The 17,941-nt window shown below is 41.3% G+C and overlaps 1 protein-coding gene and 1 long non-coding RNA gene across 7 annotated transcripts in view; one reads left to right on the top strand and one right to left on the bottom strand.

The window, feature by feature from the left end:
• ACVR1 (activin A receptor type 1) overlaps positions 1-17,941 on the top strand; it is a 139,885-nt gene that overhangs the window by 949 nt on the left and 120,995 nt on the right. The window contains exon 2 of one of the 6 annotated variants that reach the window (NM_001347666.1): positions 15,203-15,349. The exons of 4 other annotated variants lie outside the window; for them this stretch is intronic. The gene's annotated coding sequence lies outside the window, so the exon portion shown is untranslated. Of the gene's footprint in view, positions 1-382; positions 519-15,202; positions 15,350-17,941 lie in introns of those variants that run through there. One more of the 6 variants, NM_001105.5, reaches the window with a different exon arrangement.
• LOC124907899 (uncharacterized) lies at positions 12,004-16,919 on the bottom strand. Its single transcript, XR_007087271.1, has 2 exons — positions 12,803-16,919; positions 12,004-12,491 (listed from the first exon to the last, which is right to left on the bottom strand). It is a non-coding gene; the product is annotated as an uncharacterized LOC124907899 (long non-coding RNA).

Raw genomic sequence — 17,941 nt, 5'->3', positions numbered from 1 at the left:
GCGAATTTCCCCCACCCTCAAAATATCCATCTCTTCCAAGAGGAATTTTCTGCTGGAGAGACAGCCAATAAACTCTGCTCAACTCCCTCCCTCCCTCGGTTCTTCCTAGCTGCAGTTTCAAAAAGCTTCAAAGCCAGGAATGTGGGATTCATCTTCCGATCCCCAGAAGGCAAATGTGGTTACAGATGTTGCACGGTACTTTGCCAAGTTTAAAACCCTTCCTTCAACACTGTAACCAAAACAGTGAGGCTAGAACCTCGGGCGCACTAAGAAGAGATGTGGGCCTCTGGGGCCGCTGGATTCAGTAACTTCCGTCGGGTTCTAGACTGGCTCGGCTCTGTCCAGTTTGTGCCAGATAGTCTCCCACCCCCTCCCCACCCCTCCTTTCCCCTGGAGATTTGAACGCTGCTTGCATGGGAGAAAAGCTACTTAGAGAAGAAAACGTTCCACTTAGTAACAGAAGAAAAGTCTTGGTTAAAAAGTTGTCATGAATTTGGCTTTTGGAGAGAGGCAGCAAGGTAATACAATGGACTTGTCAATTTTATTGGGCTTTTCTTTCTTTTTTGAGGGATGTATGATAAGAGTTAGATGATGGGCAAAGGGGCCCGTTCCATACATGTTTTTACATATTTTTGAGAAGAGGCCCATGAATTGAGACATAACCCAGTGGTTTTAAAGAATCCTGTCCCAGAGATGCAGATTGCTCTGACAGCCCAAGGGAAGGCGGTGGCAAAAAATAGACACCACCTCCCTTTTCCCCAAAAAAATTCTTCCTGGAAAGGTGGTGTTAAGAAATTTCAGAGATGGGCTGATCCAAGTGGCGGGCCTTAAATGGAAACACTATAGTATGTCCTGGCACTTGTCTCTGGAGGTGGGTTGCTGGCCAGGGGCCCAGGCTTGGGCAGCCAGCAGACACTAGACTTGTGCTGACCTCAGACATCGGCCTCGCCATGCAGCTTCATAGTGTGCAGACTGCTTAAGTTTGAAATATGGGCCTCATCCATTTCACTGATGGGGACATAGGGGTCAGGAGGTTATCTTATGCCTGGATGGGACCTCGATCACTTATTTTATGATTCACTTGTTTTTATTTTCTGTCTTGGAATTTTAAAAAATGGAATTCTTTTGAAGCTGAAATCTAGGCCTTAAGTTGATGTAACTGGGTGTTGGATAATAGCATTTCTGCTATTACCCCTTATGCAGGTACTCACAGGTGGTGAATGATGGATAGATAAATTCTGGATAGGTGACAAAGACTAAGGATTGGGATGATTATAGATTGGGTTCATGCCCTCCTTTTCCAGCTGTGTTGTTGAGTTTTACTTGAAATGGAGAGGGTGGTTTTAAATAAAACTTGATTTAGATAGTAGTCTTACAACTTTTGTACCTTGGAAGAGAGTGATCATTTGAATTCTAGCAAGTTTGTTGTTATCTGTGAGGAATTTAAAGGAATATTAAGGATTCAGAGTAAAGATGCCATATTCAGGAATGTAATGTATTAATTTCAGAAGTGAGGAACTTAATTTGATTAATAGATTTGTAACGAATTTTTTTCAAAGTAGTGATTTGCCAGTTTTCTTCATGTGTCCAAGGAAGGTATAACAGAGATTGAGTCAGGAGATAGAGGTTATGCCTCTATCTTGCCCTAGATTGGACTGAACTAGTCCCATGATTGTCATGATAGGCTTCTAGGTAATTCTCAGGCTTGGATTGAGTAGTCCAGTCTTCTGAGGGAGGGGGGACAGGACAGAAATGGATTTGAAAAATGATTCTGCTCTTCAAGGTCATGAGGTGAAGATGGAATCAATGCTGGGGCTGGGAGCTGTAGTCTGTGGCTTGTTCTGCTCTTGGATCTCTGCATCTTGATTTATTTTTATGTGAAGCGATCTCATGCCCAACTCAGTAGGAATTCTGGAGAAGCAAACCACTGATGGTGGCAAAACTCTTTGATATGTTTGGGTGGCTTTAATGACAGGATAGTTTAGGGGTGCTGGATATGTGCTAGGCACTGGGCTCAGCTCTTCACAGGTACTTTTTCATGACATTTCCACAAACACCATATGTCTTATTATTATTTTACCGTCCTACAATAAGAAATTGAGGCTTGGCAAATTTCAGTGGTAGAATGGGGATTTGAACCAGAGGTCTGCAGGACTTCAGAACTCATGTTCTTGGCCACTTTTGCCAGTGATTGTCAAAGTTCATTCACTCACATACTGTCTTCCTGAGTTTACCATGGCTGAGTCCCACTTACTCTATTAATATTTTTCTTTAAAGCAATGATTCACTTAAAGAAAAGAACCTAAAGACATCATTTTTTTGAGAGGAAATTATGTATTACTACCATATTTGGAAAGCCAACTCACTTGTTAGGAATAGGAGGTAGTCATAAATATGCGTTTGTACTTGCACCGAAACCCCAACTTCAGAATAATGATTATGTGGAGTGTGTGTATGTTGCAGGGACCTGGAATAAAAATGGAGGAAGTAGGTAGATGATACAGTGTTGGTGATGTTCTGGTTTTTGGATTGGGTGATGGGTTCATAGGTGCTGATTTTATTTTTAGACTTTATAACCTACATACACAATACATTTTTTCTAAAATGATAAAGAAAATTAAACACATAACCATTAACATAATGATTACTTAGGGAATATTTTACTGCACTATGCTGACTATAGATTTAGCTTGGTGCCTTGTTTGCAGTGGGCACACAGTAACTACTGGCTGATCGATAAGACCCCAGGAAATAATTGTAAAGCAAGCTCATTGTTTGTTATATTTGAATAAGGTTGAGGTATGTCCCCCTCCTCCCCTATTTTCTCCTGCTTCTACTCTCCTTTCCAATATTGCAACTAAATAGTGTGGGCTGCAGTGAGGTTTCACCTGGCTGTAGTTATGGGAGACACAGGCTGGGCTGAAGCTAGCACTTTTCAGCATCACCTTGTCTTATATATCTAGCACTTGGGATGGGGCAAAGAATACTGTCATGAAGTGTTAAGACACCTTCCTTTTTACCCAGTAGTAAGGTGTGACCATTCAGAGCTGGAAGCAGTATTTAAGTTAAAGCAGGGCCTGGATGAAATGTTAACAACATTAAACTGGTGAGGCTGGGAAATAAAGCCATCAGAAATTTTAATTGGAATCCGCAGAATCTCCTGTTTTATTTTCCCAAGCAAGCACCGGGCACTGTGGCTTTATTCCTGGAAATGAGGATTTGGAATTGGGTTTCCTGGTACAAAATACCTTCTTTGATCTTTTGGAGTGAAAACTTTGTGTTTCTTTCTGTGGCCAATTCCAGCTCTCAGAAGAACCAAATGGAAGATTTACCTCCTCATTTTTAGCAGTTGGCCATAGAATGCTCTTGCTTGCCATGTTAAGTTTAAGAATCAGAAGTTCTAAACTAGGGTTTGTCTGTTGGAAGGACATTCAAATGAAAGACTCCTTTTGAAAGAGCCTCATCAGTTTGGTGTGGTTGGCACATCACAGCCTTTGGTTCAGATGGGAGGTAGTTTTGCTTGAACTCACACTCTCAAAATTAACTAATAAGATATTCGGCAGCTTCCTTTTCTGAGTTAACACAAATACACCCTCTGCCCCTAATATTCAAACTAACCACACATTCGAATACTATTCCTGTGCGCTTCTAGGCAGTTCTGGAAATGTGAGATTGTTTATATGTATAAAGGCTCTTATGTGATCCATCAGAGCTTTGTTTTCCAGAGCCACGGCTATTCAGTTGTTTGATTTTTGGGTTTCACTCTCTGACCAACATTCCACTTTGCCCATTAGAGTTACTTCATTGTTGACTCTGGGTATTTGGCCTTTATTTCTGTGACTGGGAAAGTAACTTTAAATTTCAGTCTTCCTAAATTTTGTGGAGGTTTGTGCAGTAGGTGAAAGTTGTTTTGAAGAGGGGGATGGGGTGAGACCACTTTTAGCATAAGTGTCCTGAGGGATCACCCAAGGTCAGTTCTCATTCATCTTGAGGCCAAACCCTGGCTGTTCTGGTCTCTGCATTGCCCCTCACTCCCCTCCTTTTTGGGGGACCCAGATTCTTCAAGGCTCAGAGTAATCTTACTGCAAGCAAGAATGCTTTCTGGATTTTGCCATTTTGCCTTTCGACAGTCTCCTAGGTTTTATCATCCCCATTTCTTATTCTGGGATGTGATTGATCTCTTTGAGGGCAAGGACTTCAAGTTGTTCATTCCTCCATTGATTCTTTCTACACAAGTCATTGCTCTTCACCAACTTAAAACCTTTCAAATTCTCTCCCTGGGCTCCTTGAGGCAAGGGACTGTCTTATTCATCTTTTGTGTAACTTTTGCACCTAACACAATGCCTGGCCTAGACCACACAGTCAATAAATTGTTTTTGAATTGCCGAGAGAATGAATGGATGATTGCATATTAAGGGAGCAAAGGGACCTAGTCTTCTAGGGAACCAGGGAGATTGCTGACAAGATGATACCAGTCACTGTGGTCCGTAAGGATGAGTTTGGAAAGTGGGGACGAAAGACATTCTATGTAGAAGGAACTGCTTTTGATACCTCTTCTCAGTGCTTAATGTTGTAACCTGTGCTTAGTCAATTCCACAAACATTTATTGTGTTCTTTTCAGCATATGTTTCTTTCTTTCTTTTTATATTTAAGAGTGATGCTTCCATTTTTGAGAAGAATATCTCACTAATTTTTTATATCCCACAGAGCAGGGAATCCTTCATTATTTATAGTTAGGACCCAGACACTCAGTGAATCAATTACTTTACTCTTGACTTTTTCCTGTTGCATATGTTTCCAAACAGTTGACAGTGAAAACGTAGTGGTGGGCCATGCTTATGTGAGAGGTGGAAAAATGTAGGTGACCTCTTTGGAAAATGGGTGGAATCCAAAGTAAACTCCTCTTTTGAGAGATTTTTAAGGGCTGAAATCAGTGGACATACCACATATAACTTTTCATCTTGAATACTTGATGGGTGTGTGCTTTTGCTCATCTATGAAAGCCAAGATTGGCTATTAATATCACCATGCCATCGAAAAGCAAGATTACTTTGATTTGGGGGATTCCGTTTTAGCCAGTTCTGGAAGAATATTGATAGGCCCTCCAAAATATAACCTTGAACTTTAGAAATGTACAGAGGGGAGAACGAAGGTGGGGTGATCTTGGGCAAAGTTGGATATTAGAAATGGGACGATACTTGAGAGTTTGGAACGTGGGTACTGAGGAAAATGTGCAATAAGAAGAACTTGAGAAAAAGCATTCTGGAATAGAAGGGATGGGTTGAGTGATGTTTTAAACCAAGTTCCGAAACTTCCACTATTGCAGCTATTGATGAGTGTTGGCTACGCTTGGGGTGAAAGTAAGATGTGCTTGATTTACTCTCTGTAAGTAGTGAGTTAATGCATATAAGCAAACATGACCATAAAGGCAGGAGCTTAGGGATGAATATCCCTTGTCTTGATGTCAGGGACTTACACAAGATAGAAATATGCATAGGAGTGAAAGTGTAGGTGGTTATCTAGAGTGACACCTTCCTTTTCAGGAGTAAGGGACACATGTGCCCAGTGCTATTTTTCATACAGTTTTCATATGCTTATCTTGAACTTGAAGAACCCAAGTTGTTGTGAACAATAGGTGGCAAGAACAAATATATTATGAGGATGGCCTAGTAAAAAACAGAAAAGCTCAGTCAGCAGAGATTACTTTATATAAACATAAATGTTCTATTTCAGTATTTTTAAAACATTTTAACACTCAGCAGTACATTTTATATCATGACCTGGTACACACACAAACACATATGCATGTGCACAGGTGTTAAAAATAAAGCTGAATTACAAGTTCTACAAAAATATTATAATGCTTTTTAATTAATATTCAATTTTTATTTTAAAAATTCTAGTCTTTATATACTAAACTGATTTTACAACTTGCTAATGGGTCCTAATAAGCAGTTAGAGAAAAAACTGTTCTAGGTATTGTGGAAATTAGCCTTAGTTTGTTTATTGAATAGTTGCTAGTCTGGATGAGACTTTCGTTTTCTTTTTGTGTGGATTTCTGTCATTCTATAGAAAGTTCTTACCCCTATGCCCCTCTCCCTTGCCAGATTATTTTTTCTGTGTATTGTTTCCAAATCAGATTAAAGTGAGTAATACGTGATTTGGACCAGCTCCAGTGTGCATCATCATCATCATCTTGATCCCCATCAGCATCAAAGGTGGGGCTGATTCATTTAGAATGGTGGCAGGAGCCACTTAACTCCCTGTTTATTTAGATTATACTTGAAGAGGTTGTTGACTTTCAGGAATAAGGGGAAGCTGAGGTTACACACACCCAAAGGATGAGAGGGAGGTGGGGAAGATGACCCCCATATATTGTTCAGAAATAAAAAATGAAAGCATGTGGTTAGTAGGGACAGCTCTTTGCATTCAAAGACACAAGAGCTTAATTGTTGTCATTGTCCTTATCATTAAAATCTTGCTTTCCTCTTCCTTCATCTTTTCCCGTCTTCTTTGTCCCTTATTTATTGAGCATTTATCAAGTCTTCCTCTAGGTAAGGTTGGGCATAGAAAGCTCAGTTATTGTCAAGTTAATATTAAGGTGCACTTGAGTAAGGGAGTGAATAATTATACATGTAACTATTAGTGGCAGAACTCTGAATATCTTGGTCACAAGTTACAGAGGATCAACCAACACCTTTAAGGAGGTGGCTGTTTGGCTGGCCTCTGAAAGAGGTACCAATTGGATGTTATTTTGAGAGGTATCTGTATGTGTATAGGTTGTAGCATAGGCAACATTCCAAAAAGAGAGAATGGGGCAAGTAAATATAAGGGGCTTGTTTTTTATTTAGAGGCCAAGTTATAGAAAAGATAGTTGCAGATTTTTTTTTTTTTTTTGAGATGGAGTCTCGCACTGTCACCTGGGCTGGAGTGCCGTGGCGCGATCTCGGCTCACTGCAACTTCCACCTTGGGTTGAAGCGATTCTCCTGCCTCAGCCTCCCGAGTAGCTGGGATTACAGGCACTCACCACCATGCCCAGCTATTTTTTTTTTTCATTTTTAGTAGAGATGGGGTTTCACCATGTTGGCCAGGCTGGTCTTGAAGTCCTGACCTCGTGATTCACCCACCTCGGCCTCCCAGAGTGCTGGGATTACAGGCGCTAGCCACCGTGCCTGGCAGTTGCACATATTTTTAATCACTAGTCTCAGACTATGTGTCCTGGGATGCAGCTTCTCAGGGTGGCATGCGAGACCTTAGACAACCGAAAGGAACAGCACATTCACAGTTAAAAGTGCTTTGTGATGTGACTTGACTCTGTAGAGCACATCAAGATGAGCACCATAGGAGCAAGCTTAGAAAGGGAGATTTAGAGGCACATTATGGCTTACTTTGAATGACAGGCTGGAAGTTAAGGCATGAAAGCAGGCCTTGGTCTGGCCCCTTTCATTATCTCATTTAATGCTCACTCACACTCCATGAAGTACCTGCTCTAATGCCCATTTTATAGAAGGAGAAACTGAGGCATAGAGAGGTGATATGAATGTCTAAGGTTACACATCTGAACTTTAACTCAGGCTGTAAATTCCCACATCACCATCAGTGCACCAGAGCAGAGGTTGAAAACTGGTGGTCTCTGAGCTCAGTATACCTCAGAGTTCTGTCCTGTTTGATACTGTATTTAAAACATTAAAAAAAAAAAAACATGGTTGCTAACATGTAAAAATGGGGGACATTTTCATAAAAAAAAAATCGAAATGTCCAGCTGCTCCTGCAACACTGAAAACTCTGGCAGCCCCAGGGCCATATTCCTTCCTGCAAGAAACTGCCAGATCTTTTGACCATGTCTGTCTGAGGGAGATGTGTGTGCTGTGGCTGCTACTGTCTCAGTTCATCCTGTTTTCTCCCAGACACTGAGGCTCGGTGTTAGTTGCTGTTTATTGTTCTTGCACTGACAGGTTTGTTTGTTTGTTCCTGTAGGCTAACTGGATTGACCCTATAGGTGTATGAGTTTGAGGCCTTGGCACATAGCCTTCTGTTAGCCAAGGATGATTGGTCTAGTGGAGTGGGATGCCCAGAAGCCAGGAGGAAATGAGAATAGATGGAACTAGGGTTTTAGCCTTGGGCTGGAGAAGCCATAGGGCTTGGTGAATAAATTACTTTTGCAATGAGAGGGAGGGTAGGGGTTGGGCAAACATATGTGACTTTTGGAACCTGGATGACTGGGAGAATGGTGTTGCTCTTAAAAGAAAATGGAAGGTTGCCAAGAGCACCTGGGTTGGAATGGATTGTGGCGTTGGGTTTGAGGTTCTGGGAGAGCAAGAACCCAGAAGAATGCTTACTTGAGCCCTGTGAGAAGCTGGGAAAATGGAACTGAAACTCTGGAGATAGGGTTTGGGGCTTTGGCTTTGTATTGGCTATTGGATTTGTACTGGTGATTGGTGAGAGGATGAGAATGTCCTGGGGGAGAGCTTCCTTTTGGAAATGGGAAGAAGTGGGTTGAGGTCTGAATGATAAAATGAACCAGCTACAAACAGTTCAAAGTCTGTTATTGACTTTTTGGGGTCAAGTGCCATATCTTGCAAATAAATCAAATGTTTATCCGAATAGAGGAGTAAAATAACAGTCTCCAACTTTTGAACATGGGAAACTGATAAAACATCTGCTCATAGAATCAAAGGCAGACATGCTGTTTGATGGGTGACACCTGTATCTTATGTCTGTGCCTATTTCACTGAGCCTTATTAAGGTAAAACTGATTCTAATAGTGACCTTTTCTTGGTATCATAGATGATATAAAATGTGAAAAAGAAGTTGCCGGAGCTCCAAGATGGGGAAAAAAATGCCAGAGGAAAATGCTCTCTGCTTGAGATTTATCCTTGCTTTTAACCAGTTTAGAATGGAATGTCCTTTTCAAATTCAGAGAAGCTTTCCCCCCCGCCTCCCTTGGCTTGTTTGCTTAGGATTCCCTCCAACTTATTGTTTCTTAATCAGCTGTGTCCACCTCAGCTCCTCTCTCTTCTCCTACTTGGTTCCCTTTTGATCCCTAAAAGTCTTATTGTTTTAGGACATTCTAAGCCCAAGTGCGGTGAATCTGTCTCAGATGTGAGTGTTGTACATGGAAATCTTCCAGGAGGGCATTTCTTTTGTTCTCATAGAGGCTTGTCTCCTTCTGGGGCCATACAACTCTGACATTTTTGGTTTAATTCAAATTGGTGTTTTTGTTTTTCGTTCCTAGATAGCTTTATTTCATTACATGTGCACAGTAATATGAGTTCCTATACATTTTTTCCTAGAAATAAAATAACTTTATTATTTTGTTTTATGTTTTTGATACTAGTCATATTATGACAGGAATATGTGTGCACAATACAAGATTTGAAGTACAGGAAGGGTGTACAGTGAAACCGTTTTAATTCAGGGACTGTCCATAGATAGAGTTCAGTACTACCTGAGGTTTCGGGCATTCACTGGGGGTCTTGAAATATATCCCCACGCCTGCAGAAATCAATCAGTCAATCTATCTATCTATCTATCTATCTATCTATCTATCTATCTATCTTTTTTCTTTTTCTTTTTTTTTTTTTTGAGATGGAGTTTCCCTCTTTTTGCCCGGGCTGGAGTGCAGTGGCGCGATATCGGCTCACTGCAACAACCTCTGCCTCCCGGGTTCAAGTGATTCTCCTGCCTCAGCCTCCCGAGTAGCTGGGATTACAAGCATGCGCCACCACGCCCGGCTAATTTTTTATTTTTAAGTAGAGACAGGGTTTCTCCATGTTGGCCAGGCTGGTCTCCAACTCCCGACCTCAGGTGATCTGCCCGCCTCGGCCTCCCAAAGTGCTGGGATTACAGGCGTGAACCACCGCGCCCTGCCTATCTGTCTGTCTATCTATCTATCAATCATCTATCTCCTGTGTATCTGGAGATAAATACCAAGGATTGGAATTGCTGAATCAAGGGATATTTGCATTTTAAATTTCAGTATAGGTTGTGCCGTGAATTGGATTTTTGCTTTTTATTTGTGAAGCAATGTGGTGTGGTGATAACGAGAGGATGACCCTTAAGACTCAAATGCTAGCCTGTTGTCTGGTGTAAACCAATTGTGTGGCCTAAGAAAGTCATTTTCTTAACCTTTGTCTTTGTGGTGCTTTCCTTTCCTCATTTGTTAAGAAGGGCACAGGCTTAGTTATTTCTAAAGTTTAGTAATTTGTTGATTCTCTCAGTCTCACTCTTTTTTGGTCCTTCCAGTAAATGGAGCTTTATGATTTTTTTTTTTTTTTTTTTCCTGTGTAAGTTTGAGTCTATAAAGAACTCTGGGCTTTGGAAGCCTTGCTAAGCACAGCTTTACTTTGATTGTTTTAAAGCACTATGTCTGGTGTGTGCTTTACATTAAAAGCAGAGCTTATATGGCTGATCACCTTTTTAAAAAAAAAAAAATATGGTGAGTGGTAAGTAGGCATTTAGTGACCAGGAAACTCATATAGTCAGCTTTTTATTATTGATCAAGAGTGGAGGCAATGGATTTTTAGACTTAAGGAAAAAGTTTTATTTTTATAATAGCTGTAAAAAAAGCAGTAGGGCTATGATAGACAGTTTTTAAGAAACAGCAAAATTTTATTTATGACTTCGGAACAGACCATAAGAGGTAGCTTTTGATCTTTTGAACTGATCTTTTGAATTTGATCTTTTGAGCTTTTGATATTTTGTAATGTGAAGGTAAAATAGGAATTTTTGGAAATTTTGAGATATTTAGCCAGTATTGCTTAAAAAGATGATTGGATTTCCTGCTGATTGTCAAACTAGATCTATTTAAAAACTGAAACCCAAGTAAACAAAATTTAATGGGAATTTGGCCAAGTGTGGTGTCCAAGTGTGATTATAGTGGATCACACCTGTAATCACAGCACTTTGGGAGGCCAAGGCAAGAGGATTCCTTGAGTGCAGGAGTTTGAGGTTAACCTGGGCAACATAGTAAAACTGTGTCTCTACAAAAATTTTTTTAAAAATTAGTAAGGTGTGGTGGCATGTGGCTGTAGACCCAGCTACTCAGGAGGCTGAGGTGGGAGGATTACTTGAACAGGGAGGTCATGGCTGCAGTGAGCCATGATTATGCCACTGTACCCCATACAGGCTGGGTGACAGACTCCTGTCTCAAAAAAAAAAATAATATAAATTTCTTTATTTCCCATACTGCATTTTTTCTTTAGAATTTGCTCCTGCAAGGCAGGGCACGGTGGCTCACGCCTGTAATCCCAGCACTTTGGGAGGCTGAGGCAGGCAGATCACGAGGTCAGGAGATCGAGACCATCCTGACTAACATGGTGTGAAACCCCGTCTCTATTTAAAAAAATACAAAAATTTAGTCGGGCATGGTGGCATGCATCTAGTCCCAGCTACTCGGGAGGCTGAGGCAGGAGAATCTCTTGAACTCAGGAGGCGGAGGTTGCAGTGAGCCGAGATGGCACTCCAACCTGGGTGACAGAGCGAGACTCCATCTCAAAAAAAAAAAAAAAAAAGAATTTGCTCCTGCAACATTAAGCAATGTATTTGGATTCCAAGTTAAAAGACTTGGAATTTGGGTTGTTAATATAAATGCATTTCTTCTGGAAAATTTTTGAGCCCTTAGTTACTCATTTTAGGAAAATCACTTACTAAATCTTTCTCTCTCTCTTTTTATTTTTTTTCTTGAGATGGAGTCTTGCTCTGTTGCCAGGCTGGAAGTGCAGTGGCGTGATCTCGGCTTACTGCAACCTCTGCCTCCTGGGTTCAAGCGATTCTCATGCCTCAGCCTCCTAAGTAGGTGGGATTACAGGCATGCACCACTGCACCCAGCTAATTTTTGTATTTTTAGTAGAGATGGGGTTTTGCCCTGTTGGCCAGGCTGGTCTCGAACTCCTGACCACAGGTGATCCGCTGGCCTCGGCCTCCCAAAGTGCTGGGATTACAGGCGTGAGCCACTGAGCCCTGCCTGAATCTCTGTAAGTATACAAATGTATTCAACTAGGTGTAGAGTAGCAAAAAAAAAAAAAAAAAAAAAAAAAAAAAAAGAGAAACAATTTAACTGTTCTATAGGCTGGGCATGGTGGCTCACGCCTGTAATCCCAACCCTTTGGGAGGCAGAGGAGGCCAGATCACCTGAGGTCAGGAATTCGAGACCAACCTGGCCATCATGGTGAAACCTCATCACTACTAAAAATATAAAAATTAGCCAAGTATGGTGGTGCACACCTGTAATCCCAGCTACTTGGGAGGCTGAGGCAGGAGTACCTGGGAGATGGAGGTTGCAGTGAGCCGAGATCGCACCACCGCATTCCAGCCTGGGTGACAGAGTGAGACTGTCTCAAAAAAAAAAAAAAAAAAAAAAAAAAAAAAGTAAATGTTCTACAGCAGCGGTTAGGTTTATATATATTCATAGAATGGAATTTTATGTAATCACTAAAAATACTATTTTTGATGAATTTTCAGAGACAGATCTCATTTTAAAAGTAGTTACCTTTTCTTTTTTTTTTTTTTTGAGACGGAGTCTCGCTCTGTCGCCCAGGCTGGAGTGCAGTGGCGGGATCTCGGCTCACTGCAAGCTCCGCCTCCCGGGTTCACGCCATTCTCCTGCCTCAGCCTCCCAAGTAGCTGGGACTACAGGCGCCCGCCACTACGCCCGGCTAATTTTTTGTATTTTTAGTAGAGACGGGGTTTCACCGTTTTAGCTGGGATGGTCTCGATCTCCTGACCTCGTGATCCGCCCGCCTCGGCCTCCCAAAGTGCTGGGATTACAGGCGTGAGCCACCGCGCCCGGCCAGTAGTTACCTTTTCAAAGAGGCTTTTGTTGGCTATTCCATCTAGTTTGAGCCTTAATTATTTTCCGTATCTTACAGATACTACCTTATATATATATTAGTAAATACAAGGTATGTCTGTTTTGTACTCTGTGTGTGTGTGTGTGTGTGTGTGTGTGTGTGTGTGTATGTGTATATGTTTATCCTGTGCCTAGTATGCTGTCTTATGCATAGGAGGCACACAGAAATTGTTGCAATGAATGAATGACTATAGAGAGTACACAAAATATTACATGAAAAAAGCAGGACACTCAAAACATAGTATAATTCCTTTCATATAAATTATGTACAGTTCTGTAGTACAGTTCCATAAACATAAACATGAAACATAGTACACTTTCATATTTGTAGTTAACGTATATATATGGATGTAGAGAAAAAAAAGATTGGTAGGAAATAATCCTAAAGTTTAGCAGTTATCTCTGTGCTGTGGGTCATGCATAATTTTGAAGAGACAATCTTTAAATACAAATGGATAAAGTAAATATTCAAAATTATGTCAGCTAGATAATGTATTTTACCCTTTCCACATTAAAGGTGGTCACCTTACCTAAAATGATGTATTATAATGCCGTGGCCTTTTATCCTCTTGAGTAAAATGTACTGTACCTCTCTAGTGTGACAGGTTTTATATCTACTTTAGGATTAAATTATGATCTAAGAGTTGCATTTTTAAGTAACTAGCTTTAATTTCACATCAGTTGAAGTTAAAGGGTGGTGAAAGTATATTAGATCTGCTACAAGTGTGTAATTATAATTATTGACACATTTTCAAATGCTCTCTTAAGTATGATGCATTGCCCGTGATTTTGACAGCTGTGACTACATTAAACCTGCTGGAATACTCTTTTCACAAAGATTTGTTTAAACTTAGAATTGTCAGAAGGATTCTCCATAAAGTGGATGAACACAGATTTAGAGGTGAAATGGTGGTTCATTTCCTACTGTGCCTGTTGATTTTTAGTCTGTTAAATGTTAAACAGAAGATTACCTGGATTTAGTTTTCATGTCAAGAAACCTGGGAATTTTATTTTATTTTTATATAGTATAAAAATGCGTGGTGCTATTCCTTTGTGATAGGACTGTATGCAATGATGGCATAGAATCTCATTCTGTCTCCTGCTGAAGGTCCCCAACCACACAACTCCGAACTGACAGACTTGATGTTGCATAACAGCCTTATTTTCTGAACGTCTCCTTCAACAAAGTTCACATATTATCTCCTTTTCATGGCCATTCTATCCTTCTATATAGATTTATTAAGTAGCTACTGTGTGCCAGGCACTGAGGATATAGACAGAAAGGCTGTCAGAGAGCTCAGCTTGGCAGAGGCAGAAAAAGAAATAGCCAATGTACAGTAAAGTGAAGTGCCACATTAGAGCTCTAAACATAAAATTGGGATGTACAGTTCTGTTTGAGGGCACTGGAGGTCATCTCAGGGAACTGATGTTCTTGAGTGTCTTCAAGGTTAAGTAGGATGTTGTCAGGTGGGGAAAGGGCCTTCTAGGCACAGAGGCTTTCAGTAGAGACAGCAACCTTTAAAACTGAATATGGCTAGAACCTTGCTACTCAGCGTGTGGTCCTTGGGTCAGCAGTGATGGCATCAATAGAAACACAGAGTCTCAGGCTTACCTCAAATCCTGCTGGATCAGAATCAGCTTTGCAGCAGTATCCCCCAGTGATCTGAATGCTTCTAAAAGTTTGAGAAACATTGGACTTGAGCGTAGGAAGGGGTAAAGGATGGGAGAGCTTGGAAAGTCGACCACCTGCAAAGGAGATTGGATTTTTTTTTTTCTAGCAAAAAGTTGATAATGAAGAAGTGACATTATTAGATTTATATTTTCTAAAAATTGTCTGGAAGTATATGTAGAGCAGCATCTGCCAAGAAGCTTTCTTGAAACCTTAATAGTGTATAAGGTGCTTCACCAAAAAAGGTCCTCAAATAAGTTTGAAAAATGCAGGATATTATATTCTTCTCTTGGACAATGTAAAGTATCATAGTAAATTGAAAGTTTTGAGAAATTGGCTTTGAAGAAAACCATTAGCTTAACCACTTATCCTGGAATATCCCTAGGGTGTTCCACATTTGTTCCACAGTGGAAGTCTTTGTAGCCTCACAGCTGTTAATACCCTAGGGGTGGTGGGTAGCATTCTGCTGAACACATTTTGGAGAATGCCAGCGCTGCTTCCTAAACCTTAGACACTTTGCCTTACCTGAGTAGGGTGACTGACTGTCCGGGTTTAGCGGAGACTGAGGGATATCCTGGGATGCCAGACTTTCACTGCCGAAGTGGGCAAATTGGGGTGGAGTTGGTGGGTACCCTTCCTGGCAGTTTACCACATATATTACTATTTGCTTTATTTTCTTTAGGTGGGCTCAGCCTTCTTTCCTTCAATTCCTGTTTCAGTCTCATTTTCATGGACTGGTCCCCAAACTTGTCTGCATTGGAAGCACCTGGGGAGTTTCTAGACCTGAGCCTGTGCCCACCTCATGAGGTTGTGATTTAATTGGTCTGGGGTATGTATTGGCCCTTGGGGTATGGGGTAGACTTTTCAAAAGGTCCTCAGGTTATTCAAACGTCATGAAAGTTTGTTCAAAGCAATTATACCTGTGGAAATGTAGTCTTGAGATGCTACTTAAGAATTTATTTCTTAAGTATAATCTATAATACAAAAAACGACCATTAAAAAGAAAAAAAAGTTGAAGAATCACCTAGCAGCATGTGAGGCGACCACCAGTTGTACATGTTCCACACTTTGGGAAACACTTAGGGGGATAATCGAAGTGTGGGCACAAATTAGGGGGCTGGAACTTATTTGGTGAGTGGTGTGGCTGGAAAGGATATTGCAGATTTCAGGGCTGTTTGGGAGTCTGAGCCCATGAGATGTGGTGATTGATCTGATCTGTAGGGTGGAATAGAGTAGGAAAAGGAGAATCTGATAACTGCAGGCAATCTGGGGGTAGATGATGATCATGTTACTGGAAAGGGGTCCCAATCCAGACCCCAAGAGAGGATTCTTGGACTCGCGCAAGAAAAAATTGGAGGCGAGTCCATAGAGTAAAGTGAAGCAAGTTTATTAAGAAAGTAAAGGAAGAATGGCTCCTCCATAGGCATAGCCCCCCAAGGGCTGCTGGTTGCCCATTTTTGTGGTTATTTCCGAATTATTTTTTAAACAAGGGGTGGATTATTGATGTCTCCCCTTTTTAGACCATATAGGATAACTTCCTGACATTGCCGTGGCATTTGTAAACTGTCATGGCGCTGGTGGGAGCATAGCAGTGAGGACGACCAGAGGTCACTCTCGTCACCATCTTGGTTTTGGTGAGTTTTGGCTGGCTTCTTTACCGCAACCTGTTTTATCAGTGAGGTCTTTATGACCCGCATCTTGTGCCGACCTCCTATTTCATCCTGTGACTTAGAATGCCTAACTGTCTCGGAATGCAGCCCAGTAGGTCTCAGCCTTATTTTACTCAGCCCCTATTCAAGATGGAGTTGCTCTGATTCAAATGCCTCTGACAATCACATAACAGAACAGGAAGGTGTGGGGAATGCAGTAAGGTGACAGGCTGTATTTGAGAGGACTTGGGATGTCCAAGTAGAGCTGTCTGGTGAGTTGTCGGAAGAAAAACAGATGGGGCATGCTGGCTCATGCTTGTAATTCTAGCACTTAGGGAGGCCGAAGCAGGAGGATTGCTTTAGGCCAGGAGTAGGAAATCAGCCTGGGCAACATAGTAAGACCCTGTCTCTATTAAAAAAATTAAAAATAGGCCAGGTGCAGTGGCTCAGGCCTGTAATCCCAGCACTTTGGGAGGCTGAGGCTGGCGGATCACCTGGGGTCAGGAGTTCAAGACCAGCCTGGCCAACATGGTGAAACCCCGTCTCGACAAAAATAGAAAAATTAGCAGGGCGTAATGGTTATGTAATCCATAACCAGTAGTAATCCCAGCTAGTTGGGAGGCCGAGGCAGGAGAATCTCTTGAACCCTCAAGATGGAGGTTGCAGTGAGCCAAGGTTGCGCCACTGCACTCCAGCTTGGGTGACAGAGCAAGACTGTGTCTCAAAAAATAAAAATAAAAAGAAGAAAAACAATTAATATATTTAATAGCTTAGAGAGGAAAGGGCTAGATACAGATGAGAGCCTCTGCTTCCTGGTACAGGAGGCGGTAAAGTTCAAGTGGGGATCAGAATTTCCTGAGAGAAAGGGGAGAGGGTGGATCTGTCACCTTGGTCCAAGGGATGAGTTCTTGGAGAAGGACCTTGAGAGAAGAGTCTGGGAACAGCCTGAGAGGTAGGAGGAACACTGAAGAGAGGCTCCTATCGCCATAGAGAGGAAGGGAAGGCTCCTCCCAGGTAGCCCTGAGAACCCAGTAAGAGAAGAGCTCAAGAGGGCATTTTGTTGGTAAGTTAGTCATCATTAGTAGTGTTCGTAAGTTTAGCATAAAGGAGGAAACCAACTTTTAGTGGGTTGAGAGGGAGGAGACCACTAGATCGAGTGACTTTTTTTTTTTTAAGTTTTTACTGACGAAAAAGCCTGGCATAGTGTGGGACCTTAGGGAATAAATATGGGTTTGTTTGGGGAGTAGTCATCTTCTGGTTACTCATGGAAGTTATGTCAACAAGGAAGAAAAAATTACAAGGAGCATTCACACATTCACAGAAAAAGTGCCAGAGTTACCTGGGGCTCCATAAAATCCCTTTATTTTGAAATCATAACTACTCACCTTTTCTCTCCATCTTCCCTAAAGTTTGCTCTGTTATTCTCTAGACACAACAATCTCAATTTCTGAATTGATATTCTTATAAATGTCATTAGGATTTCTTACGGTGCTGACAAGGCTGCTTGTGATTAAGTATTCAGCCTTTGTCTATATGTGGTACACATTTCTGGAGGGCTTTGTAGTTTACCAAAGCAACACTGCATTTTACATGATCCTCTTAATAACCTTGTACGGAGGCAGGGCAGAAAATGATATTATTTTATTTTACAGGGAGAAAAAAGCCTTTGAGGTTTAAATATATTAAGGAGGACCTGCTGATGATGAATGATTTAGTGATGGATCCAGGGTGCAATTCTGGTCTCTCTGGTACAGTATTTCTTCCTTATGGTG

This window comes from Homo sapiens, chromosome 2, assembly GCF_000001405.40.
Source record: "Homo sapiens chromosome 2, GRCh38.p14 Primary Assembly".
Taxonomy (NCBI): domain Eukaryota; kingdom Metazoa; phylum Chordata; class Mammalia; order Primates; family Hominidae; genus Homo; species Homo sapiens.
The sequence above is the reverse complement of the archived record's forward strand: the minus strand, read 5'-3'. Positions and strand labels throughout refer to the sequence as shown.